General features: G+C 43.3%; 4 annotated features.

The window, feature by feature from the left end:
- Positions 8,289 to 8,794: an enhancer, noted in NCBI's record as "OCT4 hESC enhancer chr11:11093610-11094115 (GRCh37/hg19 assembly coordinates)". NCBI's record gives its function as "activates a minimal SCP1, AML or CMV promoter by ChIP-STARR-seq in primed H9 embryonic stem cells {active_cell/tissue: H9 hESC(primed)}" and the evidence as "EXISTENCE:reporter gene assay evidence [ECO:0000049][PMID:30033119]".
- Positions 12,188 to 12,687: an enhancer, noted in NCBI's record as "H3K4me1 hESC enhancer chr11:11089717-11090216 (GRCh37/hg19 assembly coordinates)". NCBI's record gives its function as "activates a minimal SCP1, AML or CMV promoter by ChIP-STARR-seq in primed H9 embryonic stem cells {active_cell/tissue: H9 hESC(primed)}" and the evidence as "EXISTENCE:reporter gene assay evidence [ECO:0000049][PMID:30033119]".
- Positions 12,688 to 13,189: an enhancer, noted in NCBI's record as "H3K4me1 hESC enhancer chr11:11089215-11089716 (GRCh37/hg19 assembly coordinates)". NCBI's record gives its function as "activates a minimal SCP1, AML or CMV promoter by ChIP-STARR-seq in primed H9 embryonic stem cells {active_cell/tissue: H9 hESC(primed)}" and the evidence as "EXISTENCE:reporter gene assay evidence [ECO:0000049][PMID:30033119]".
- Positions 15,038 to 15,639: an enhancer, noted in NCBI's record as "OCT4-NANOG hESC enhancer chr11:11086765-11087366 (GRCh37/hg19 assembly coordinates)". NCBI's record gives its function as "activates a minimal SCP1, AML or CMV promoter by ChIP-STARR-seq in naive H9 embryonic stem cells {active_cell/tissue: H9 hESC(naive)}" and the evidence as "EXISTENCE:reporter gene assay evidence [ECO:0000049][PMID:30033119]".

Here is a 27,799-nt window from a genome sequence, read left to right as displayed (position 1 = left end):
TTACCCATTTTACATTTACTGATTTTCTTGATTTACTCTGGAACCTCAGTAAAACTCTCCCCTTTCTGGCTCCAGCCCAGTGGTTCTGAGTCACTCAGGTATAAATGGATCACTGGGGAGACTGTTTATAGAGCAGATCCCCAAATCCCACCAGCAGAAAGAGACAGGTTCAGGGGGTTAAGAATGAAGCTTGACGATCTGAACTTTTAACAAGCACCTCAGGTAAACAGAGGAGCATGCTTTCAGAAATACTACTTCAGGTCATTTACGGCTTTGTTCGAAGAAAAAGAGGATGTGTCCGCCCATGTGCTAAAAAGGAGAAGATAAAAAAGTGTCCTTATGGCCAAGTGTGCTGGTGCATCAACAAGTGTGCTAAAGCAGCAACATTCTGGGAAGTTCAACAACCATTAGATTAGACAACCTCTCTGGGCTCTCCCTTTCCCTGTGCTGAAATTTTAGAGACACTCTTTTTTGTACCTAAAAATCTCACCATTGCTTCTCTCTTCCTTAGGGTAAAGGGATGTCCAGCTCCAAGGTGTCAGCTATTAACAGCTTAGCATGAATTAGACCATACTCAACCAAATCCTTTCCCCAAAAAAGGACACACACAAGAGAAACTAGCTTTTGTGGAATGCTCCTAGATATGTCCGGCACTGCAGTCAGTACTCCGCAGTGAGGAAGACTGAACAAGACTTGGTTGATGCCCACACCAAGCCAGTGAGATGGCATTTTCTGCATTTGGCAGATGAGAAAATTAGGGTCATAGAGATTTAGTAAATTGTCCAAAGTCACTTAGCAGATAGCAATAGACCCTAGATAGAATTCAAAGTCTGTTGGCCTCTGAAAATCATCCTAGCCTACTAGACCACTAGAGGAAGAAAGGGGACCCTACTGGGAAGGGCAGATCTGGGTGGGCTTCCAATAGAGGGTGGGAGAGGGTAGCCAGAACAGGACATAGGCCTGGAGGTAGAAAATTGTAGGCATAGATGTAGGGGGTCCAAAGACAACTTGTACTTTTGATTTGGTTCTCAAAATAAAGTGTTCATCAGTCTAAATAAGTATTGGCCTTTATCAAGAAAGAAAACATCTCTTTCTCTGGAGGGTTGGCCCTTTGGGCAACAGAGGAAGATCTGGGAGGTAAACAGCTGATCACAACTGGGATTAATGACATGGATTGGGTCAAGGCTTGCTATGCCTAGCCATCAGGTCTCAGGCATGATATGAGCCTCATCAGAATGGACAAAGGGTTGCACAGGGACTGAGCAAGAGGGATTTAACAAAATCTAGTTGGATCAAAGGAGATGCACAGGTGAACCACTGGATGCTATAGTGATGGAGACTATTGGGAGAATGTAGTAGAAACCAGGGATAGCCACTGGAGCATCAGGAAACAGGACCTGAGCTCTCCTGGGAGCATGCCTCTGACAGCACTATGGCTGCAGGTCATCTCTGCTGGATGTCCTGCCATTTCCATAGCCTCTGCCTAGCTCAAACTGAGTTCACCAACTTGTCTGCAAAACCAGATTCTACTTCTGACTTCACTAATATTATCAGAAGCACCAACATTCTGGGAGGTTCGACAGCTATTACACAACCTCTTTGGACTCTCCCTTTCCCTCATATCTGGTTACTTGCCAAATCCTACCGATGGACTCTCCATAACGTTCCCCACCTCTTCACTCTTATTGCCCTGTCTGTACCTAGGCTGGGGCCCAATGCACATATCTCTCAACCATAGCTTGCCATTCAAAGGCTTCTAGGGCCAGCCTCATCCTACCTCATAAACCAACCTTCCACTATCCCACTGTTCACTCAAATGAGCAACCCACTCTTGTCAAAGTAGCCTACTTTAAACCAGTCTGCGTTCCTTTGCTCATGCCATTTCTTCCATCCGGATTTCTATTTTCCCTGTGTATTCATTCACCACTCCCACCCCATCCATGCATTCAACAGATGTGAATGAGTGCCTGCTATATGCTAGGCACTCCTCTAGGTGCCAGGAACCCAGTGATGATTAAGACAAAGTCTTTCTGCCCTGGGAACTCACATTCTCCTGGAGAAGATAGAAAATAAAGCGGGGGAAAGGGATAAATAATGGCACAGTGTGTATGTGTGTGTGTTTGTCTGTGTCTCTATGTGTGTGTCTGTGTGTGTGTGCATACACGTGTGTGTGCATGAGTGTGTTTTAGGCAGAGTAGAGTGGTCATGAAAGGCTTCTTTGAGGAGGGGTTCAGATCAGAGACATGAATGAAATGAGAACTAGTTATATGAAAATTGGTGTAAGAGCTTCAAAGTCCTCTCCTCCAACAGAGGGCAACATAAGCTGTATATAAGCCACCCTAACCCCTGAATTCCAGAACTTACTGCCTGTGAAATTCACACATCTCTGAGCATATCCTGCCTTGAGTTGCTTCTTACCTTTTCAAGCCTGACTAGATGATAAGTTCTTTGAGGGTAGTAGCTTGATCTTACTTCATAAAAATCACAGATTACTGGGGCATTGTGGCATGCAACACCTAGTGAAGGTAGAATAAGGGAGAAATCATTTCACTGTGCTTCTGTGAGACTACAAGAAAAAATTTATTCCTTGTGATTTAAGGAAGACTGTTTTGCAGGTGTCATTCATTCCATGTTGGACGTATTCCTAGCTGGAAGCTAGGAAGGTAACTGAGGTCATTTCTCTGATTTGAATCCACGAGCAGATAAATAAACCCCTCATGACTCAGGCAAAAAAAAAAAAAAAAAAAAAAATGCCACCACAGCCCTAAGATAGAAGAACATCCACTGCCAAACTATCTTGAAATCATTGAGCTGAAGTCACAGAGCAAACGCCATTCCGAGGTGCTTCTGCCCTTAGGAGAAGGAGTCCAGGATACATCAGCAACATTCTCATGATGAGGAGCAGCTAAGGACTAATGAAAAGGGAACTGAAATATGTGTAGACTTTATTGAATCAAATATTGGTTTCTAAATATTTTTAAAGTATACAGTGTTAATATTTAAAAGTGTGTATTCTTTTATAATACTTTAATGCATTTAACTGATTTAATAAACACTTATTTTATGTGAAGGAGCCAACACATATTAACTGTGCACCAGCACATCCAAGCACAGTGGGGGTGCAGTGGTGACCTAACAGCTGTGTTCTTGTCCCCAAGGACCTTACAGTCTAGCAGAGAGGGCAGATGCTAAATAAATTAATGTCAACAATTAGGTGGTTACAAGTGAGCAAAATGCTGCAATTGGAGGCTTCTGGAGTGTATGGGGCAGGGCAAGAGGTGGGCAGGGGTCAGAGTAAGTTCCCCAAGGAAGTAATATTACATCTGAGACAAAAGTTGACTAGGGCTAATGTGGTGACTCACATCTGTAATTCCAGCACCTGGGGAGGCTGAGGCAGGAGGATCGAAGAGTTTGAGACCAGCCTGGGCAAGACAGTGAGACTCCATGTCTACAAAAAATTTAAAAACTTAGCTGGGTGTATTGGCACCTGTGGTCCCAACTACTCAGGAGACTGAGGCAGGAGGATCCCTTGATCCAAGGAGGTTGAGGCTACAGTAAGCTATGATGGCAACACTGCACTCCAGCCTGGGTGACAGAGAGAGACCCTGTCTCAAAAAAAAAAAAAAAAAAAACCGAAAAAAGAAGATAAAATAAGAGAAAAAAGTTGACTACTAGTTAGTGAAGGAAGGTAACACAAAAGAATGTTACAGGCAGAGGAAACTGTGCATACAAGTTCAGTAGTGGAAAGGAGAATGGCACTCGAAACAAGGGCAAGGTCAACAGTGCTGGAGTGAAAGAGGCACAGGATGAGGCTGGGGGCGGTGGAGCAGCAAGAGGCAAAACCAGGCACGCTGTAGGCAAGTCGGGGGTTGTGGCTTACCCCAGGGGCTGTAAAAAGCCATCTCACATTTGAGTCTCGGGGAAGCATACCAGCCTCCATAAAACCAGAATCATATAGATCCCCTCTTTGAGGTAAAAAAAAAAAAAAAAGATACATATATATATATATATATATGTGTGTGTGTGTGTGTGTGTGTGTGTGTGTGTGTATATATGTGTGTGTATATATATGTGTATATATATGTATATATATGTGTATATATATATGTGTGTATATATATGAGAAATGAATCACCTTTTAAGAAGCAAATCAGCTTTAATTAAAGACAAATGGAAGAAAATCACTTGGACCTAAAAGTGCTTTTGTTTATTCAGGCATTACGCTGTAAAATGCTTTTCTTGCCTAATGAGAGAAGCTGGAGGATAAAAATTGTTTACAATCTAGGTAGTTAAAGAATCTATATGCTTGCAAGTCAGATTGAGATAAGGTCTCAGTAAAACTAAACATGATTATGCTCTTCTTAGGTGACAAATTTCTCAGTTGCCACTTCATAGAAAGAGATAAGGGCTGTCTTCCTGTCAAACTGCTTTGACAGGCTTGTTTTTTACCCATCTGAAATGTAAACCTTTAGTGTTCTTACACGAACATCAAGAATTGTGAAACATGTTTTAGATAATCACGGGAAGTCATAAAACATAACTGGTGTAGGAGGTTGTAATCGTTGAAAATGTGTAATTATTATTAGTAACCAGATATAACTGAATGTAAAATGGATTAAATTTTTCTTCTTCTTTTCCTTGTCTGAGCCCCATTATTGACTGACAATATAAATCCACAGTTTACAGTTTCAGGCATTTGAAACAGTAGCAATCTTTCCTTGGGAGCTGTTAAAATAAAAATGAGAGCTTTGCTCATACTACCTGCCTGCGGCTGGCCCAGCCACTCCTCCCCAAACTAATCCACTTCACTTTTCTCACCCCTTAGCTTGTGCCGTTGCCCCTGCCTGGAATTCCCTTCCAAGTTCCAGCTCCAGAGCCTGGTGTTTCACACCACATGACTAAGAAGACTCTGCTACTTATTGGCAAGAAACCCATATTGTAAAATCAGCTCTTTGGAGTGACAAGTAAACCTCTTGAAAGCCACAACTCTAAATCCAGTTTGCCACCATTTGCTGATTTCATTCTTTTTGTGGGAAAAATGCCCAAGGGAGGAACATGCAGACTAAAAATGTATAGTCAAATGACATACCCTGTAAATCAAAACGACATTGACTGACCCCTCTTCATAAAGCACGGGCTTTTGTGCTGCCCCCAGTGGCTAAGGTGAAAGAGTCGGTGAACCACCCACACCCTCCCTCTCCCATAATCCCACCACCATCAGAGGCACACACTGTGGATGGCCCAGTGGCCCGGGTTACAGAAACATCTGTGGCCAGAGTGAGGCTGCCTGCCTCACCTGGGAATTGAACCTGTTCACCTTGGCCTCAACAAATGCCAAGCCAAACGACAACAGACGATTTGGGAATGGAATGATCTTGGATATGTCCCATGGTCAATTTGGTGATATTATTAACACAAACCCCCAGATCACTTAAGATAATATTAAGATATGTTGGCACCTCTTCAAAGTGTTTCTCTCTGAGAAGTGGAAAGGCAGCAGGACAAATCTCGACTCATCAGAAAGCAGAGGTTAAACAATCCTCCCTGTGCTGCAGCTGACAGAATGAGGTCAAAGGGAGTGAGCTCCAGGTGACGTCCGAGGATGCAGTCCACTTGGGCATTCTACCCAAAGCTGTATCCACAAACTGCCAATCAAAATGGCACCTTGGAAATCTGGTGTGTTTGATGTGGTTAGACAACCACATCAGGTCAGGCAAGCAAAGAACTTCCAAGTTTAATGCTCCACGAGTCCACGTGGATCCTATGAGCTCAGAGCTTATCCCACAGAGACATCCCCCTGGACTCCAACAGTTAGATATTGCTGCCTTTGTCATTCCAAACCACCACTGTGCGGGCAGCTGCTCCTCTCAGACTGTCCTAATTAGCAGCATGGTGCTCATTAACAGCTGCTGCGTGTTCAAATGTTCTCCCCCGCATGGAGCCGGGCCTGCAAAGCCTCCCAAAATATATCCTCCTGCTAAAGTGGTGCGTACCATGGCAGCAGATGTTTGCTGATGATGGGCCTGGCAATTTGCTTTTCCAGGATCTAAGATCCTGATTCTTCCCAGAGCCAGTCAGGGCGGGGCAAAGCACCCAGAGGCAACGCCACCATCATACAGACTCAAGGAGCTTAGCTGGGCATCTGGAATGTACTAGGCAAGAAACTAATGTTAGCTATCAACGGGGCTGATATTCAGCTAGTTTGCACCCAGACTGACATAGTAGTTGTCAAAATGGCTGTCCTCCTGGATGGTAAATAGCTGCTCTCTCTAGCCCCTGCCCGCCCAATGTCCACCACCACCACTAATATCACCATCACTATGGTGGTGTGAGGGCCTCTTTCTTGGGACCCCAGAACCCCTTACAAGCCAGCATCCACTCTGATTGATCAGTGCCATAGACACAAGTCATTACATTCAATATCATGCCTGGCTATCACTATTATCATCCTCATTGTCATTATTTAAGGACTGATATTCTCACAAACATTTCTACCAGAAACTCCACCCCAGCCCTCCAGGTTCTCCCCTACTTCTCTGATTTCTCCTTATTCTCCACAGCAGGTTTTTATCCTCTGCTCATCTTTTGAATGATTATATTTCCTGAGTCATCCCTTCCACAGCCAAGACTTCCCCTGCATTGCTTGGGGATTTGCCAATCCCATTGCTAGGGATTTCTTGGCCTACCTGGGTTGGAACTATGCTTCCAATGATTCCCTTCACTGCATAGTTTTGTGTTAGCATGGACCACGAGAGGCATTTACAGGAGACTTGAAAGGCAGAAGTGAAGCAGAGACCATTTTCCTTTCACTCTCAGAGAGCCTCTGCAAGACAGCAGGTGCTGTTGCTGTCTCTCTGTCTGCCCACCTCACCCATGTGAGGCAGCAGCCAGGTGGGCTGCCTCTCCAGCTCCTTCTGGCTTTCGCCCTTCGGCTGGGACAGGAGCACCCTAGGCTGTGTGATGGAGGAAACAAGCTTCTCCTGCAATGAAAGCTTAAAGGTGGTGAAAACATCAACACGAGTTCTAGTCCTACCTCGAGAGTCCTGGCTCATCCTTGCAGGTCCCCTTTTGACCTGCTTCCCCACATCATATCCATCTTCCTTTCCTGGCTGCCTGCTCTGTGGACACAAAAGTACCAGCTGTTAATAAACTGCTGACCCAGTTCCTGCAGTGCATGAGTTCAAACCCCTATAATAAATCCCTGCTTATATCTACGTCTGTGTGTTTATCTATATGTAGACAGATATAGATTAGATAGACAGATGATAGATTAGATAGACAGATGATAGATTAGAGAGGCGATAGATACTTAGATGACAGACAGATACAAGATTAGATGAGTAGATAAATGATAGACAGATAGATATTGCCTCATGCTCTGCTTCTCTGATTGAGCTCTGACTGATGCAAACTTCCACCCAGTCACTTAAGCCCTAAATCTAGTATCATCTCACTTCCTGTCTCTTCATCACTCTCAACATCTAAGTATCCATCCAACAAGCCATTCAACCTTCCAAACCTGTTTTGTTCTCTGGGTGCTTAAATATTTTTACTTTGTTCTGCCTTATGTTGGGATTTGACAACTGAACTATGTTTTCTAAATGGCAACTGGAATATCATGCTAGGAAAAGCAAAAGGGAATCATGAGTGCTTGTAGCTTAAAGGCTCAACAAAGAACGATGAACAACCTAATGCAGGACAGCTGTCCTTTTCATCCCCTCCCAACGGTGCAAACATTAAACAACCAGATATGAACCTTTGAAAGGGCATGGTCACCAAAGGGTGTCCACGATTGTAGGTGAGAGTTACTCACTATAGAGCATTTGCTATAACCAGTGACAAGCAGTGAACTCACTGGGGGCTTGGCAGTCCCTTAATTATTAACAACGGCTTTTAAAAATGTGTCTGTATTTATTTATCATAAAGGCAACGGGAGTTGCTAAGAAAATTCATAATGCAAACAGGAGAAATGTTAGCCTACTTAAGAGCAAGGAGCTTAAGTACTGGCCTTTACGTTCACATAATAAATATGCTCATTACACATTTTTTCTACCTCTTTAATAACATCCTGGCAGGAATCTCTAACACATCTTCCCTCTTCCCTTTTAGCATTTTTTCTATGAGTGCTTGGTCATAATGAAGCTACATTTCCTTACCAATGTTTTGCTTTTCCATCCTATCATTCATCATCCATTAATTCACAAAACATTTCTTAAGTGCCTGTTGTTTGCCAGGTGCTGGGAATATGACAGCCTATTAGTACAGGATTTGTATTTGTGGGGTGTCCATTCTGATAGTGGAATATCTTCTATCAAGAGGTAATCAAATAAATAACAACTTCATTTACTAGTAGGCACCACAAAATATACACACACACATAGTTGGGTAAGGGATAGTGAGTGTGCATGAGTGATCAAAGTAGGCCTCTTGGTGGAGGTGACACCTAAGCAGAGATATGAACAAAAGGAAGAAACCAGCCATGTGACCATATGGCACAAGAGCTTCCCAGGCAGTGGGAATAGCAAGGTTAAAGGCCATCGGCAGGAAGCGTCCTGGGTCTTGTCATGCATTTATCCTGATTTAAAAAAAAGGTGGGAGGGAGTTTCTTTCAGTTTCTGGAACCCTCCCAGCTCTTTTCTGCCTCGGGGCCTGTGCACATCCTATTCTGTTACCTGCATCACTCTGGCCCCTGAGCTCACCTGAATGACTCATTGTTCAGGTCTCAATTCTAAACATTGCTTTTTCAGAGGAGCAGTCCCTGACTATGCAACCTCAGGTGGGTCCTTCTTGTTATTTTCTCTAACAACACCAGCTTTCACCCTCACAAGGTAGTACTGTTTGCATGTGTATTTATTCAACACATAGAAAGCACTCAGCATCACTGCTGAAGTGAGGAACCACTGAGTGGATCGTAACAGTCATCCACAGAGCATCCAAACCAGGAAAGCTGAGAACTGTGAAAAGGGGTGGGGTGGAATACAAAAGAAAGAAAGTTATTGAGAAAAATAGTGATTTAAGGACAAACGAAAAAGGAGGAAGGGAAGACTGCTAAGGGGAGCCAAGCAGAGGGACTGGGCTAGGGAGAAAGTGGTAGAGGACTGGCCAGGCAGGACAGTGGACAGCAGGGACAGAGAGTCTAATACCAAAACAGCAGCTGCACTGCAGGCTCATGCCAGCCAAGGCTTCAGCACTCAGAGGGACAGAGCCATGCACAGCCTGAGATGCAAGGTCTGGCACATCCACCTGCTCACCTGCTACCTACCAGCCAATCCTCCTCTGCCTGGACACTGTTAACAAAGGACAGGGTCCCAGCACCAGTTCTGCATCAACCCCACATGCTAGTCTCTTCTTCTGTACTCAGAGCATTCATAGTCCCTTAACAATTCATCATGAGACAGTGGCCAAGCCATCCACCTTCTGTGCACCCCATGATACATTCCAGTTTGCTGAGATCCTTTTGCAGTGTTGCACGCAATAGTACCCAGGGCACCAGATGCAGCTGAAGCCCCATGCACGGGCACAACTGCCACATTTGGAATCGTGACAGCATGACCTTCTCAGGGCCTTTGGCAAACCCACAGCTGGGAGAAGGTTTGGGATGACAATGAGTTCCACCTGCTTTGACAGGACAGGTTACAGCAGATGCTGTTGTATTTGATTGTGTGGCAAATGGATGTGACGTGGGAGGAGAGGAAAATAGAACCTGGGAAAGGGCACGCGAGTCTTTCTGGGCGGCCCCAACAGATGGGGCCATATATAACGAGATAACACAGGTTCCAACCCCAGAGCCAGCTACTGAGGCGTGACTTCCTTCTTAACGGAAAAAGTAGAAATTCTCCTTGAAATGAGAACTACAAGGCAGACATATGTGCCCAAGGAGAGCTTGAGGATTGAATGCCCCCACAGGGCTCTTTGGGGAGCCAGCAGTTTCTACTGAAAATGCCACCGCAGGTGGAGGCGGACTCCTGGTTACCTGCTCAGACTGGATGAGAAACAAACCTGAGCATTCTGTGTGCACTTTCCATAGGCTCAGGGAGACCGCATCTCTGATTGATGTCATTTTGGGCAGCTGTCTCCTTGGAGCTATTATTTCTCCAATTTTCTTTTGCCAGAAAAACAACTAAAGAGCTCCAGTACCCCCACTTCCCTGGGACATTTTTTTTTAGAACGTATCCATAAAATTCTGTCTTTAAAAAGGAGTTGCTCAGTTTTCAACATGTGGATAATTGATTTGTTACAACTCACAAAAGAGCATTTGTCATTTTGCAACAACCAAGACCAATGTGCTTCCTCCAGAGATAAGCGTGGAAACACTTGACTTATTGCTGCCATTAAAGTGAAGTGTTCGGCTGATTATTTGGTATTTCAGAATTCCTTATAAATCACCACCTTATTTTGGTGATTACAATTTTAAGAAGAGATGCTTGATTTAGTGGCAGCAACAGGGAGGAGGAGGGATAGAGAGGGAGGGGCTGGCAGGAGGAGCAGCAAAGGCAAGAAGCTCAATAAACATACAATTGGAAACATCTGTCTGGTACATTGCCCTCTTCTCCATAACTTGCAGCTCAAGTGATATGCCTTCAGCTAGGAAATTTTCATTACTGGGCCTTTGTCAGAAAAAATATAAGAAGGGGAAGGGGCCCAGGGCTCTTTGCAGTGTGGGATGTGCCGCTGCCCTCAGGGTTCTGGTTTCCCGCTAGTTGGGGGTAGAAGAGAGTAGAGCTCCAAAGTGAAATTCATCCTATTGTAACGCATGGGCAAGCCATGAGATCTGGGCCCATGTTCACAGAGAAAACAAGTAAGCAGAGGGCTGGCTCCAGCTCGACACAGCTGGATTCTGAGATGCAACAAAGTGGAAAATGACTTCTTAAGCCCCAGTGAGTCCATCAATCAACTGCATTTATTGACAGCTAAAGGGAGGCAGACCAATGCAGCAGGTGCTTGGAGGGATCCAGGAACGGTTAGACTCAATATCTGCCCTGGGTAAACTTACAGACTAACAGAGCAGGCCCAAGTGGCATGCAGATTGTCCCCCACAGATTAAAAAGCTATGCAAATTAAGTCCTGGATGTGGTTGTGCATAGGTGGCACTTGGTTCTTCATGTCTCCCACAGCTGTAAGTTGGTATCTGAAATGTCTGTCTTAGGGAACGAAGACCTCTCCTCCCACAATGAGAGGCCAGGCTTGAATGTCAAATGCCCCAGGAGAAGGAATGTGTTGGTAGACCCTGCCTGGTGGAATATGTTCAATGCTGAATTTTTAAAGTTGGAGCGTATACAGATGCCTAGGTGGCCAGGATGGTGGGAGAACCCAAAACTAGTCCTATTGGGAATATGTAAAGAAAATAGGACACTCGGCCTAGAGAAAAGAAGGGTCATGAGAGCTCGCATGGACCTGAAAGGCTGTCATGGGAAGGGGGAAACAATTTGTTTTGTAATTGCTCTAGAGAGGAGAGTGAGGACTGCTGGTAGGAAGCTGCAGAGAGGCAAGTTTCAGTTCATTCTACTCTAGCAATTAGAGCTACCTGGATGTGGAGGAGTGGCACATGGTGAGTTTCCTGCCATGGGAGGAGTTAAACGACAGTCTAGGTGGCCATGTTAGAGTCACAAATCAGAGAATCTCTGCATTTGGTGGAATGTAAAACTAGATGCAATTCAAGGTCTGTTGCCACTGTAAGATTATATGACACTGTGACCTAAATTCACACTAAAGTATGAATGGTTGATAGGTTCTTTCCAGAAAGTGTATTGTATTAAAACCAGAGGAAAATTTATTATAAAAAACGATGGATATGCTAACACAACCATATATGCCTCTAACAGGAGAAATGGGCTTTGAAATGGATGATGACTGTGGGCGTCCATTTCAGCACTGAGACTCAGAGTGTTTAAAAGGCTTGCCCCAAAACATATAACCATTCATAGAAAGAGGGCCATCTAGTTTATGAACCAGGGCCTATTTGACTTCATTCCCATGCTATTTTCCATAATGTTATAAGTAAGGTGGGACTTACAGGTATTCCTAACCTCCAGGATATTAAGTCGTGGGCTAAGGCCACATATGTGGCTTTGAACACATAGTGACACCCAAAGAGAGTAGGGAGGGCTGTAGGAAAAGACAGTAGTATAGGCTCCCATGTCCCATGCTCCCTACACCCTTCACATGCCTGGCTGAATGTGTACATACACACACGGCCACACATATATGGCTGCATGTGTGCCTATACAGCCATATACATATATTATTAGCCGTCAGATGAAAAGGTCCAGGGTAAAGGTGGGTTTCACTTCAGCAAGGCTGTTGTCTGTTCCCTGACAGTCTCCCAGGGTAGCATTCACTACTTTAGCAAATTCCCTAGTCTAGGGTCTGGCCCTCATCCTCTTAGGCCTAAAAACAAGATTCTGTCAGTTCCCCAGAGGAAGAGGACTCAGGAAGGTGAATTCTCACCCAAAGCTCACAAGGGATCGGCGTCTAAACCAGTTACCAGTGTGTTCATTTGCAGCCAGGGCTCTCAGTGCCAAGACGCCTGGATATGTGAGCCCGAGCAGGTCCCTTCCCCCTGGAGACAGCTTTGTACAAAGCCAGCAGGCAGCAGGCAGCCAGGGAGCATGGAGCCAGCTCAGGGTCACTGGGAAGGACTAGGCTTCTTGGGCCAGGATGGCTTGATACCTCTTCCCCCAGAAAGACAGCCTGCCAGAGGAGCAGATGGAGGCCTCACCCTCCACTCTCCCTGCAGAAGCCTCCACCTCTGCCCTTGCAGCTCCGTGATGAGGGCTCCTGAAGCTGGCCAGCCCTCCTTCTGCCTGACTGTCCCCACCTCTTTCCAGAGGTTGCAGTCTCCATGTCTCACTGCCTCTCTAAGGTGGCTCTGCTAAGCTCTACCTGATCCTACCTGACCTACTTTATGGTTGAACTCTAAGAGAAGATTCCGTTTCCCTTACCTCCCGATGGTTGGAGTCCTGGCACCATCGCTGCCCCTCCCTACACACACTTGGAGACACCCCTCACTTGGAGGAGCAGGTGGAGGCCCTCAGCAGGCAGAGTCAGCCAGGCTGGAGAAAAGGTGCTCCAAGGGTATCATGGTCTGCTTCCTGGTGCTGCGTATACTGCTGAGTGGGCCCACACTGCAAGATCCCCCAACCCCATCCCACCAGAGAGCATCTCAGGGATTTCAGCTCCCATCGTCAGCCTGAAAGTGAGTTCCTTTGCCCCAGACCTGGGAAGGCATATGCAGCTCTGAGGCTCTTTCTGAGCCCAGTTCACAGACCTCTGCATCCACAGCCCTGGAGTTTCCTCTTTCAACCCTGTCCCCATAACTGGCTGTCTTCCCTGCTGTGTATCCCATCCTCGCTCCAAACTTGAGCCCAACCCTGAGCTCCTGCAGCCGCTCCCCACAGAGCCCATTCAACTTCCTGGAGCTCCCCATGGCCTCCTGGTACCCTTTTAGAAGGGAACATTCATTCGGTTAGTAACAAAACATTAGTAATAACAAGAGCTTACCATATGCCACCAAGCACCCTGCTGAATGCTTTACACACATTAGAATCTCATTTAATCCTCCAAACAACCCCAAGAGGTCATCCACATTCCATGGATGAGGAAACCAAGAAGCCAAGAGTAGAATCCCCAGTGTCACACAGCTAATACATGCCAGGGCCAGAACTAGCACTCAGATCTGCCTGCCTCCAGAGTCCACGATTATAAGTGCTACCCTATCTTGCCACACCTGGGGCAGCACCATCCGGCTAGTGACAGTACCAGGCCTGCCTCACCAGGGAAGGGAGTAGTGAGAGGCCTTATCCCTTCCATCATTTGTTCAGAAGGGCTAGGAAGAAAAACAAAAGTAGTCTAGAGGGAAGGAGTAATGGGGGTTGCTATTTAGATAGGATGATCAGAGTTTCACTCTGCCAACTGCCCCCCGACTTTAATTTGAACTATTACACTCTTCTTAGTTCTATGTATATTGCAAGAACAGCTTCGATCTTGTTTTAGCCAAGTTGTCACCCCCTAAAGCCTTCCAACATGAAAACTCTGGAGCCATCCTGACTTGATTCTTCCATCGTTATCCTGGGATAGGACCACTTACAGGCAAACCTCTTGATACCAGTATCTGTCCTCCCTAGAACCAAGCTCTGAGGCCAGGACAGCTTTTGGCAAGCTGTGCCTGTGCCCTGGCTAGTTTGCTTTCTCCCATGGGCCCTAGCTCCCCAGCTCACAAACTTTGGGGCTTTCTGCACCCAAGCTGCCTCTTGCAGAGCCTCCCCATCATGCTTGGAAAAACCTCCTTCCATCCCATGGTTCATTGACCTGCATCCAAAAAGAGGAAAATTGCAATGAGAGAGGAAAAAAAAAAAAAACTAGCTACGGTTTTAAGATTTCCTGGCATAATTCAAAGGAAGATTATGCTAAGTATGGGGAAAAAATCTTTTCATCAAAGGAAAATCATTAGAATTTTCCACATCATTTAAGCCTCTGTGATGATTTAAACCAGTGATTTCTTAAAATAATAATACCACTAATAATATGACTACCATTCCAAAAGCACACAAAACATGTTTAAGCAAATGCTTGGGAAGCTGCTCACCATGTCTTTTGATGGGTCTTTTTTCCCTTTCAATACCGTTAGGAACTGACAGTCATGATTTTCTGAGTAACTACCATGAAAAGGGAATTGGCCAGAAAACCTTGCCTATGGGACTGTAGCATGCACAGGAGAGAAGCTGAGAGGGGCCACAATTAGACAATTAGGAATGGCAAGTCTGTTCAACAAATATATTTTGAGTACCTACTGTATGCCAGGACCTGTGCTAGGCATTTATGATACAAATTTCTAAAAAGAAGAAAAAAAAGACCTGGACCCTGGCCTCAGACAGCTCCCAGTCCAGTAGGGATGATAGAATGGTGAGCCAGCCACTATAGCATGGTAAACGTTCAGGGTACCTTTCATACACACACAGCCAGCAACTCTAGAGTTCAAACTCCAACTTGTTGGTTCACTTGGGAGAGTCATCGAATTTCTCTGTGCCTCTCTTTCTTCACATAGAAAATGAGGATAGCAGCGATGAGCTGAAATACGTAAAAGGGCCCAGAAGAGTGCCTGTCACAAGCTGTATGTACTGGCCACTCTTGTTATTGTGGGCAGGACACCCAGGCTAGATGGGAAGTTAGCCCAGCGGAGAAGGTGGGGAGTGGAGGGAACAGCATGGGCAAAGCAGAGGCGTCAATGGTAGCTTGTATGTGAGTTGCTCTGTCCCTGGGATGATGGAAGATGGAATTTGGAGAGTAGTAGCAGATACAGTAGGGAGGTACAAAGGGGTCACCCCATAGGGAATCTTTGTCATGCTGAGGAGCTTGAGTGTTTTATTTACATGTTGAAAGCTGGTGAAGGATTTTAAAGAGAGAAGCAACAGAATCAGATCTGCAGCCTAGAAGAGAGCTTACCCTGGGGAGAGGCTGGACGTGGTCTGGGGCTCTCACTGGCAGAGGCAGACACAACCTTCCTCTCAGGAAACCATGAGGATACAAAAGTAGGAGGGATCAAAAGAAGGAATCAAAAGATATTTAGGATTTCCAGTTCAAGATGATGGATTGAAGACATGTGTTTTTATCTCTGCTCCCTCCTGAAACCCCACTAAGGCAACAGTAAATGATATATATATCCCAAGGACAAAGATTAAAGGTGAAGAGTCAATAGCAATAAACTTTCAGAAACCTAGAAGCAAACCATCACTTGGTGGTTGACAAGCAAGCCCAAAGATTCAACTGGATTCAAGGTGAGTATGGTAAACAAAGCCAACAACCACAGGATCTGCCCCCACAGAAGTCTCAAAGGCCCAATAATGGTCTCAAATGGGAACATGGCTCGAGGTCTATTTATGAGGCAGAGACCCAGCCCCAAGCTGGAGGACCACCCATCCCCACTGGAGCACCCTCTCTAGCCTCTAGGGCAGTACTGCCCATAGAAATATACTGCAAGCCACATACATAATTCTAAATGTTCTAGTATCCACATTTTTAAAACTAAAAAGAAACAGGTAAAATTAACTTTAATATTATGGTTGAACCCAATATGTACAAAATGTCATTTCAACATGTAATCAATATAAGAAATTACTGATGAGATCATTTACATTTTTTCATTTCAAAAAGTATGTATTTTATGATTATAGCACATCTCGAATTTTCATTAAAAATACTTGATCTGTTGTTAGATTTCATAAAATCTACAGTTGAAAAAGTAGATCCAGATACCCAATTTGTTCCAGAATATGTAAACGTTTTTCTATACTGAATAGATTATATATTTTGAAAAGTAAATTGATCAAAATTAATTTTTTTTTTGAGACAGAGTCTCGCTCTGTCACTCAGGCTAGAGTGCAGTGGCACAATCTCAGTTCACTGCAACCTCCACCTCCCGGGTTCAAGCGATTCTTCTGCCTCAGCCTCCTGAGAAGCTGGGACTACAGGTCCCCGCCACCACGCCTGGCTAATTTTTGCATTTTTAGTAGAGATGGGGTTTCACCATTATTGGCCAGACTGGTCTCGAGCTCCTGACCTCGTGATCCACCTGCCTCAGCCTCCCAAAGTACTGGGATTACAGGCGTGAGCCACCACGCCTGGCCTAAATTAAAATTTTAAAGTTTAGTTCCTCAGTTGCACTGGCCACATTTCAAGTGCTCAATAGCCCCCATGTGGCTAGTGGCTATTGTACTGGATGGCAGCACAGCAAAGTTACCCCACACTGAGGCCTAGGGGTGGTGAATCCCAACCATACACACACAGACGAGGATCCCCAAACATGTGAGGAATGCCTCTAGCCTGGAGACAGACGAAAGCAGATGGGGAAAAGCAATTTGAGAAAAGCAGAGACTATACAGGGAAAAAACATCAAAAAATCTATTGCTATTAACCCTGAGGAAGTATCTAAAGATTTTGAATTCGTTAGATTAGAACAGCATGCTATTAAAAAGCAATATTCAGAAGACAACACACAAAAAGCACTCTTAGAAAGTAACAGAAACCTGTTAGGAAAAATGAACGATTCAATACAAAAGCTGGAAGATAAAATTGAATAGATAACCCAGAAAGCAAAGCAAAAAGATAAGGAGATGGAAAATGAGGGAGAGAAAAGATTTAAAAAATTAAAAGATCAACTCAGACAATCCAGTCACTGAAAAATAGGAATTCTAGACGTAGAAAGGATAAAATGGTAGAGAGACAGACACTAAACATAAGTTCAAGAAAATATCATGGAGCTGAAGGACATGGATTTCTAGAGTGAAAAGGCCCATTGAGTACCCAGCACAGTGGATGAAAATAGTCACTCATATGGTTTGGATGTTTGTTCCCTCCAAATCCTTTGTTGAAATGTGTTTCCCAGAGATGGAGGTAGGGCCTGGTGGGAGATGATTGGATCACAGGGGTGGATCCTTCACGAATGGTTTAGCACACCATCCTCTTGGTGATGAGTTCTCGCTCAGTCCATGTGACATCTGGTTGTTTAAGGGAAACTGGGACCTCCCCCTTCTGTCTCTCTCTCTTTCTCTTTTTAATTATTTTTTCTTAGTCTATTGTGTGTTGCTAACCCCTTCTCTCTTTCTTGCTTTCACACTCATCATGTAACATAGCTACTCCTACTTCATCTCCACCATGAGTAAAAGCTCCCCAAGGCCTCACCAGAAGCTAAGCAGATGCTAGTGCCATGCTTCCTGTACAGCCTGTAGAAACATGAGCCAATTAAACCTCTTTCTTTTATAAATTACCGAGTCTCAGGTATTCCTTTATTGTGGCACAAAAACAGACTAATACAGTCAGTCACTCTAAAGCATACATAGAAGGGAAATTTCAGAACCCTGGGGGCAAATAAAATACCCTAGGAGCTCACAAAGAGAGTAGGGGAAAAGATTACAATTAATGGCCCAAGCACTTAAAACCCAGCTAATGAGGCCTCCAGGGGTGCAGATAAACAGCTAGTAGCATAGCTAGGACATAGGTGTCCTTCAGAAAGATGCCTCTTGGAAGGTAGTAATGTCACCTTCCTCAACACCTGCCTGGTAGGTTGAGGAAATGGAAGAGTGCAGAGAGCAGAGAGGGATGTTAGCTTACCAAAATGTAAGTCCTTCATCAGACCCGTGGGTATTTATAACCCTTTCACATGAAATACAAAAAATTATCAGGCCCACAATCACACAAGTAGTTGTGCTTTTAGTATTCATTGACTGAGAAAACACAATTCCAAAATACATCCCTGAAGCAACTACCGGTCTTAAGTATTTTCTTGTTCAAAAGAGCATCTATATACATTTGAAATATAAGTGAATACATAATTTCAAAATATACTCGTTTATAGGCAATGCTTGGTGAGTGTACGGATCTATGGAACTCTTTGCAATAAATCCTCATTTCCCAACTATCAGGGTCCAAGGTCCACCTGTTGGAAAAGATTGATCCAAACTATGGGGCATAGGATGCTCTGCAATAGCAGAGAAACACTGCTACCCCTCATGAGGTCAAACTATTAATAGATATTACCAAGATCACAGAATGGAAATCTTTCAGGAGGAAGAAGGAGAAAGCCCCAAGATTCTATGGGAAGATCCAGGTCTTTGTCTTCATCTCCTCCTGCGTGGAGTTTGCCATCCAACCCTGCAGGCACCAAAGAGTAGCATCTCAGTGTGTGGTATCAGAGCTCTCTCCGCAGTCTCCTAACAATTATCCTTGTCCCTCCACCCCTGCCCCACTCCAGTGAGCAATCCAATACGTGCCAGGCTAGGTGTTGCATACTTTAGTATATGCCATCTCTTACTGTTTAATCTTCACAACAAACTGGTGGAGTAGATATTAATATCCTCATTTTAAATATGGAAACTGAGGATCAGAGAAGTAAATTGCTTTGCCCAAGGTCACTTAGCCAATAAATAGTGGAGTTAGGATCCAAATCTACATCCTGTATGGTATACATTTTCTTTTCACTCTAACACATTGCCTTTTCTCCTTCTGAAATATAGAATTGCTGTTGAGAGATGGGATAGAGGTAGGGGGGGTAGGGGTGGGTGGTAATCATCCTGTAAGCTGGTTCCAGGCAGAAGGAACTCCTCCTAATGGCATTTCCATAATTAGAATGAATTTTTTCTGATAGTTATAATTTAGGCAATTGCAGTGACATTCAGCTGAAACCTGGCATGCAAGATGTTCATTTCTCTTAAAAGTTCACTTTTAATTGGCCCCAGTTCTTTCCAAGTCTGGAAGAAGTGCAGAATGTATTCTTCCGATGTTTCCCATGTTGAAGTTTATTTGACACCAGCACTCAATCCCTGGAGTTTATCCTGAAGTCTCTGGTAAGAGACAGGGCAGGGAGGACTACATAAGAAAGAGAAAGGGAGAAAGAAAGAGAGAGAGGCCTTGTCAGAAAGGGGGACTGCTCCTAGAGAGTACATTATTCCCAAAGGGACTCTACAAGTGCAAGCACATTCTATATGCCATATGAAGTAGAAAATGCCTGAAGATGAGACTTTGCTCCCTCATTCTGTACAGATCTCCAGGAACACATGGGCTACAATTACGGTGCTCCACTTAGTCAGTCTGTCCAGTCTTAGCTGGATCTTCCACTTGAATAGAATCCTCAGGAGAAGCTGAACTATGTCTGGTCAAGTGAGAGGACAGTTAAAGCAATACTCTTCTGGAATTCCTGTTTTGTTTGTTTCTTTGTTTGTTTTGTTGTGTTTTTTTTTAATTATACTTTAAGTTCTGGGATACCTGTGCAGAACGTGCAGGTTTGTTACATAGGTATACATGTGCCATGGTGGATTGCTGCACCCATTAACCTGTCATCTACATTGGTATTTCTCCTAATGCTATCCCTCTCCTAACCCCTCACCCCCTGACAGGCCCTGGTGTGTGATGTTCCCCTCCCCGTGTCCATGTGTTTTCACTGTTCAACTCCCACTTATGAGTGAGAACATGCGGTGTTTGGTTTTCTGTGCCCGTGTTAGTTTGCTGAGAATGATGGTTTCCAGCTTCATCCATATTCCTGCAAAGGACATGAACTAATCCTTTTTTATGGTTGCACAGTATTCAGTGGTGTATATGTGCCACTTTCTCTTTATCCAGTCTATCTTGATGGGCATTTGGGTTGCTTCCAAGTCTTTGCTATTGTGAATAGTACTGCAATAAACATACTTTTTTTTGGTTTGTTTGTTTGTTTTTTTAACGCAAGGTCTTTCTCTGTCACCCAGGAGAGAATGCAGTGGCACAACCATGGCTCATTGCAGTCTTGACCCCCCAGGGCTCAAGTGATCCTCCCACCTCATTTTTCTTTTTTTCTTTTTCTTTTTGTTTTTTGTAGAGATGAGGTCTCCCTATGTTGCCGAAGATGGTTTCAAATTCCTGGGCTCAAACAATCCTCCCACCTCAGCCTCCCAAAATGCTGGGATTACAGGTGTAAGCCACCATACTAGGCCAGCCTCTAGAATTCTTAATGCACTTCTGGGCTTTAGGAATAGCCCAAATCCCAAGGAGTCCTGGAATTTGCATTAAATAAAGAGAGAAAAACCAGGGAACCAGAGTAGTGTGGTAGAGAGAACAAAGGTTGAAGAGGAGCCAGAAGATGTAGATTTACGTTCCATTACTGCTCTGCCATTTGCTAGCTCTGTAACTTCCATGAGTCTCCATTTCCTGGGACAAATGATTAATAATCCCAAGATTATCATGAGTACTAAATGTGGCATTATATGTAGACTAGATCAAACTACTATCTCTGGTACATAGCAAACTAGGTATTCTGACAAACCCTCCAACCACCCTAAAGTATAGAAATAATTGAGTTTAAAAAAAGTAAACAATTTTCAGAGGCCAAAAACTAAGTAAAGGTAGAAAGCCTAGAGAGAATGTTGAAATCAACTTTCCTTTGTGGGCATCTGCCAAACCCAGGTGACCATGAGCTTCAGTATTCATGACCTAGCAGTTTATAGGAAACAAGAGACATAGACTATGGCCCATTTAAAGCGGAGAGTCTAATAGGAGAACCACCACCTGCGTTTAAAGCTAGGAACTCAAAGCCTTATTCTCAGTGTAAGGCTGAAGTTGAAATAACAGCCCACCCTCTCACAAGAGGGAACAGCAAAGAAAGTTGACTACCTCAGAATCTGGCTGCTAGGTGGACAGAACAAAAACATCTGAGAATTGCAACTACAAACTCAGGCCACAAAGGGGATTTGAAGCTCAAATTGATATTACCCAGATTGTCCATAAAACCTCAAGCTTGAAACAGTTCCAGTTTAATAGTGCCCAGGAGGCTACTGGAAACAAATACAAATTCTTTCTAGAGAAACTCATTTCCAACCCAGGCCTCAAATAATTCCTATATAGTTAAAAAAGATGTGTGTTTATACTCAAAAAAGCGTAACACACAAGGAAACATGATACCTGAGCAAAAGCCAGCAGAAACAGCACCAGCCTCATCATACCCATAAAGACTTCAGATATTAGAATTATCTGACATAAAATACAAAATGATGGATATGTTTAGAAATAAAAATGAGAAATCAATACTGAACTATAAACATGACCAAATAGATTTGAAAAAAGAACCAAAGATACCATCTACAAACAAAAAATGTAATAATTGAAATCAAAAGTCAATGAATGGAGGTAACATTATTAGATATACCTAAAGAGAGAGATTTTGTCAACTCTAAGGCAAATTTTTTAAAACACCCAAAAATGCAACATAGAATTAAAAAAATTTTTTGAAAATATGAAAGAGAGGTCAAGAGACATTGAGGCTAAAGCAAGAAGGTCTAACTTACATCTAACCAAAGTTTCAAAAGAAGAAGAAGAGAGAGATGTAGAGGAGAAATATTATTCGAAGAATGAATGGCTGAGATTTTTCTGAGACTAAAAAGACATTAATCTTCAGATTAAGTGAATTCCAGGCAGAATAATTTTTTAAAAATCCATCCCTAGGCCAGGCGCAGTAGCTCACGCCTGTAATCCCAGCAGTTTGGGAGGCCGAGGCGGGCGTATTACCTGAGGTCAGGAATTGGAGACCACCCAGACCAACATGGAGAAACCCTGCCTCTACTAAAAATACAAAATTAGCCGGGCATGGTGCCATATGCCTGTAATCCCAGCTACTCGGGAGGCTGAGGCAGGAGAATCGGTTGAACCTGGGAAGGGGAGCTGAGATTGCGCCATTGTACTCCAGCCTGGGCAAAAAGAACAAAACTCTGTCTCAAAAAAAAAAAAAAAAAAAAAAAAACCTTTTATCCCTAGACAAGAGCCAGGTGCTGGGGCTCCTGCCTGTAATCTCAGGACTTTGGGACGCCAAGGCAAGTGGATCATTTGAGGTCAGGAATTCGAGACTAGCCTGAGCAACATGGTGAAACTCTGTCTGTACTAAAAATACCAAAAAATTAGCCAGGCGTGGTGGCATACACCTGTAATTTCAGCTACTCGGGAGGCTAAGGCATGAGAATCGCTTGAATCCAGGAGGCAAAGGTTGCAGTGAGCCAAGACTGTGCCACTGCACTCTAGCCTGGATGACAGAATGACACTCTGTTAAAAAATAAATAAATAAATAAAATCCATCCCTAGACATATCACAGTAAATCTGCAAAACAGCAAAAGCAAAGAAAATGTCTTTAAAAGAACCAGGAAAAAAAGACAAATAACAACCTAAAGACAATGGAAGGAAGTCTTCATATGCTGAGAAAAAAATAAATTGTACACCCAGCAAAATTTCACCCATCAAGACTGGGGGTGAAATTCTTAGAGACAGGTGTTATCAGAAGACCTTCAGTATGCCAGCTATCAATTTATTGTCTCTCAGATACAAATTTGTCCTGCTCTGCTCCTGTATACCCCTATACAGGAGCTTTGTGTGACAGTCTATGTTTGGCCAGGCACAGTGGTTCATGCCTGTAATCTCAGTACTTTGAGAGGTCCAGGTGGGAGGATCACTTGAGGCCAGGTAAAGGTAGAGAGAAGGTCTTTAAATATTTTTTCTTTGCCAGCTGGCATCACATTAAGCTGGTATCATGTTATGGTCAATAGAATGTACTGGAGGGATATTGCAGGACATAGGGATTTTCCGTGCTGATTCCAATTCCTGACCTCCCAGAAAGCTCCGTGAGTAAGCCCAGCACCAGCCTCCTCCAGTGCATGGCAATCAGCATCACCCAGCAGACAACAGCTTCCTCCAACTACTCCCTTTGGTGGTTTCATGGTGGAGCACCTCTGGCAATAGCTCCTGATGAATAATAGCTTTCCCTGGCAACCTAGAGGACATATTTTTAGCAAGTTCTTCCAGTGTAGAACCACAGCAATTTTTCTGCCATTCAGTGAGCCATAATCATGCTTTTTTCTAACAAGGTCTGGGTCTCAGCCCTGCGGAGCTCATTCTTTGGATGCTCTATCTCAGCTTGTAGGAGTGGTGATTGCTTTCTATAGCTGCTATTCCTCTTAAAGTTCTCTTTACTACTTACTGCAAATCCCTTGTTACTGCATTCCCCCATTATAGTTAATTATTCTTTGTATTAAACTTTCCCTGCACAAATTAATGTGTGATTTCTTTCTCCTGATTGGACCTTGGCTGACATATTCACTAAAGAGCATCTTTCATGCAAAGAAAAATGATCACAAATAGATATAGAATGCAAGAAGAAATGATGACTAAAAAGCAATAAATATGTAAATCTAAAAAATACACACTGATTTTCTTTTTACATTTTTAAATACTTTTTTCACAAACCTAATGTTTTAGGATCATTTTTCTTTTTTATATCTTCCTATGTCTTGGACTATATTCCTATTCCAAGAAATTCCGCCTTTGGTCCTCTCCTCCTAGCAGAGCCAAAATGATGGCATGATGAAGCATAAACTTTGGAGTCAGATAAACCAAGGTATAAATCATAGCTCTGCTACTTGCCAGCTATGTAACTTGAGAGAAATTCCTTAACCTTTCAAAGTCTGTTTCCTAACAAACCCAGTTGCCATGAGACTTAACTGAGATAACTGATATGAAAGTGCCTGGAATATGGTAGGTTCTCTATTTCTTTTGAAGAAATCATTTTGAAGAGACACTTTCCCCCAGAGATCTCTGAATTCCTCTTCTAGTCATAAAACTTTCTTTCCTCCAGATGAGCACCATGCTCTTGAGAGGATTCTTCAGTGTTCTCTTCCTAATGGGTTTATTTAATTAGCTGATGTCTGCACATAACTCTGAAGAAAAATGCTGATCTAGCTCTCTCCATCAGCTGACTCTCTTCCCTACGTAATGGACTTCTAAATTTTTAAATCTGAGCCCTAGGTATCTACTGGCTCTAATGCTGTAAGGAGATCCAGGAGAAACCAACTGTTCTGAGCCAAGGATAAAGTGGCAAGGCAAGTTAATGCTTGCACATGCTCTAAGGATATTTGCTGTGCTGTGAGTTTTAAGTCAGCCCATCTTTGCTAGCACTGATTAAGCATTTTGTAATATACAGGGCTGGTGGGTTGGAGAGTTTGGTATCAATACTCTTCTCCAAGCCTACAACATAATCTGGATATGAGCCAACCCTGCTAACCTACCCACCATGTGTTTCAGTCTAGCTAGTTTGAATGAACACAGCTAGATCCTGTATTCAGGATTCAGAACCTCAGTTATGCAGCCACTCAGATATTACTTTGTTAGTGACACAAACTGAACATTCTGTTTGCAAAGCCTAGCATGAGGACCTGAATGAGACAAGTGAAAAATTTGTCTCTGCCTCCTGGGTGTTCATTCAAGAAAGAGCAAGTAAACTCAAAGTTTCATAACCTTAGAACGAAGATAAAGGCCTCAGAAGTTGTCAAGTGCCATCTCCTTCCTAATCCAGGACTTTCAGCCCCTGCTAAAACATTTCCAAACATGGAGAGTTCACATTCTCCAGGGAATGGAGAGTAGCTAACATTAGAAAGTTCTTCTGCTCTTGCAGTTGAAAATTTTCTTCCATGCAGAGGATACAATGCCAATCCCCAAAGCAAGTGGAGAGGCCAGTATCTGAACTACAGATGTGTGAGGTAATTGGAGTGTCCCATGACTGGCATTCATAGGAAAGTATTCAGTGAATGCTTCATGGCACAGGCAACCATTATTCACTCGAGCTGGGACCTTCCACTGATGTCTTCTGAATCCAAAATCTCTCCCCAGAGAGGAGGACTTTCTTTTGTGGGGAGATATAGTAAACATACTTTCTTCTATTTCTCCTGCTATGTGTAACTAAAAACCTTGACATTATTTTAAAAAAAAAGAAAGGAAGAAAAGTCTGGCAGATAGAGAGAAGTAGGCAGATCAGCAGAGACTTTGGAACCAAGGAATTACACGGTGATGAGTTCCCTGGGTTTTACTTTTGTTTCACATATCCTAGACATGGAGCTAAAGAAGTGAGCAACCAGAAAATGCCAAGAGGTGCAGACCAAAAAAAAAAAAAGAAAGCCTCAACAAAAAAGCCTATTCTTTCTAGATAAAGGATCAGAAAAGGAACATCCTAGTAACACAGAAATTTTAGACAATAACCTCTCCACCCCAACCAAACACCACATGAGACAATCTGTGGCCCGATCCCCACCCATGCCAGCAAATGTTGAGTGGGGAGCCTAGACTTCATTCATGTGAGATTGTTAACAAGGCACCCATATTAGTCAGGGTTCTCCAAAGAAACAGAACAAATAGACTTAAGACATGTAGATATTTTTTGGCTCATACAATTAAGGAGGCTGAGAAGTCACACAATCTGTCATCTGTAAGCTGGGGAACCAGGAAAGCTGGTGGTATGATTCAATCCAAGTCCAAAGGCCTAAGAATCAGGAGCTCTGCTGTCCAAGGGCAGGAGAAGATGGATGTCCCAACTCAAGGAGAAAGAGAGAAAATAGTGCTTCCCCTGCCTTTTTGTCCTATTTAGGCCTTCGATGGACTGGATGATACCTGCTCACATTGGTGAAGGCAGATCTTCTTTGTTCAGTCTACCAATTTAAATACTAATTTTTTCTGGAAATGCCCTTACAGACACACCCAGAAATGGTGCTTTACCAGCTATCTGGGCATCCCTTAGCCAAGCTGAGTTGACACTAAAATTAATCATTACAGCACCCTAACATCCAGGCATGATGATGTCAAAAGTCAAGGAAAGAGCTGGGACTTATGTCCCTGCTGGACAGTAATGAGGCCAACTACCTCTCCCTCCTGCAGTGTCAGTGGAGACCACACTGGGATTCTGGACCTTCACCCCCACCCAGCAGTAATAAGGCATCTTTCCACTACTCACTGGAGTGGTGTCAGAGGAGACCTAGTGGAGAATAAAGACTTTCACCATACCCCAGCAGCAACAGGGTAACCCCATAGGGTGTCAACAGAGGCTAAGTAGGAAACCTATACTTCTACTTCCACCTAGCAGTAATGAGGCAACAGTGCCTTCCCCAGAGGGGATTGAATTTAAACAGAAGATTTGGGTAATATTTAGAGCCTTATAATTGTTTAAAGTCCAAGTTTCTATTGAAAATATCTTGTCATATGAAGAACCAGAAAATCTCAAACTTAATGAAAAAAATACAATCTAAAGATGCCAACCCCAAGATGGAAGAAATGTTAGAATTATCTGACAAAGATCTTAGAGCAGCTGTGAATTTTTTTAGTGCTTTAATGAGAAATTACTAACATGCTTGATGAAAAAATTGGAAAGCCCTTAGCAAAGAAATAAAATATTCAGGAAGGATGTAGAAGATATAATGAAGAACCAAATGAAAATCTGAGAACTAAAAAATACAATACCTAAAATAAAAATCTCAGTGGATGGGCTCAACAGCAGAATGGACAGAGGGAAGCAATTAGTGAAGTAGAGGACAGAACAATAGAAATTATCCAATCTGAACAATAGAGAGAAAATAGACTGAAAAAATTACGAACAAACTTTAAGAGCCTGTGAAACTATGACAAAACATCTAACATTCATGTCATTGGAGTCTCAGAAGGAGACTACAAGAGTAGAGGTATGAAAAAGTATTCAAAGAAATAATGGCTGGCTGGGCATAGTGGGTCACGCCTGTAATCCCAGCACTTTGGGAGGCCAAGGTGGGCAGATCACAAGGTCAGGAGATTGAGACCATCCTGACTAACATGGTGAAACCCCGTCTCTATTAAAAATACAAAAAAAATTAGCCGGGTGTTGTGGCAGGCACCTGTAGTCCCAGCTACTTGGGAGGCTGAGGCAGGAGAACGGTATGAACCCAGGAGGCGGAGCTTGCAGTGAGCTGAGATCGCACCACTGCACTCCAGCCTGGGTAACAGAGCAAGACTCCGTCTCAAAAAAAAAAAAAAAGAAAGAATGGCTGAAAACTTCCCAGATTTGGCAAAAGATATAAACTTACAGACTCAAGAAGCTGAGTGAACCCCAAACAGGATAAACCCAAAAAAATTTACAATGAGATACACTATAATTAAAATTCTAAAAACTAAAGACAAAAAATTGTTTGAAAACAACAGGAGAGAAATAACATCTTACATATATGAGAAAAGCAATTTAAACGACAACAGATTTGTCATCCAAAACTATGGAGGATGAAAGAAAGTGGCATAACATTATTTTAAGTGCTGATTTTAGAAAACAATTATCATCCCAGAATTTTTTATATTTAAAAATATTCTACAGGGATGAAAAGGAAATCAAGACATTTTCAGGTAGAGGAAAACTAACAGAGTCTGTCACCAGCAGATCCTTCCTCAATAACTAAAGGGTTTTTTTTCTTTTTTATAGAGACTGGGTCTTGCCATGTTGCCTGAGCTCGT

Source organism: Homo sapiens, chromosome 11 (genome assembly GCF_000001405.40).
Source record: "Homo sapiens chromosome 11, GRCh38.p14 Primary Assembly".
Classification (NCBI taxonomy): Eukaryota; Metazoa; Chordata; class Mammalia; order Primates; family Hominidae; genus Homo; species Homo sapiens.
The sequence above is the reverse complement of the archived record's forward strand: the minus strand, read 5'-3'. Positions and strand labels throughout refer to the sequence as shown.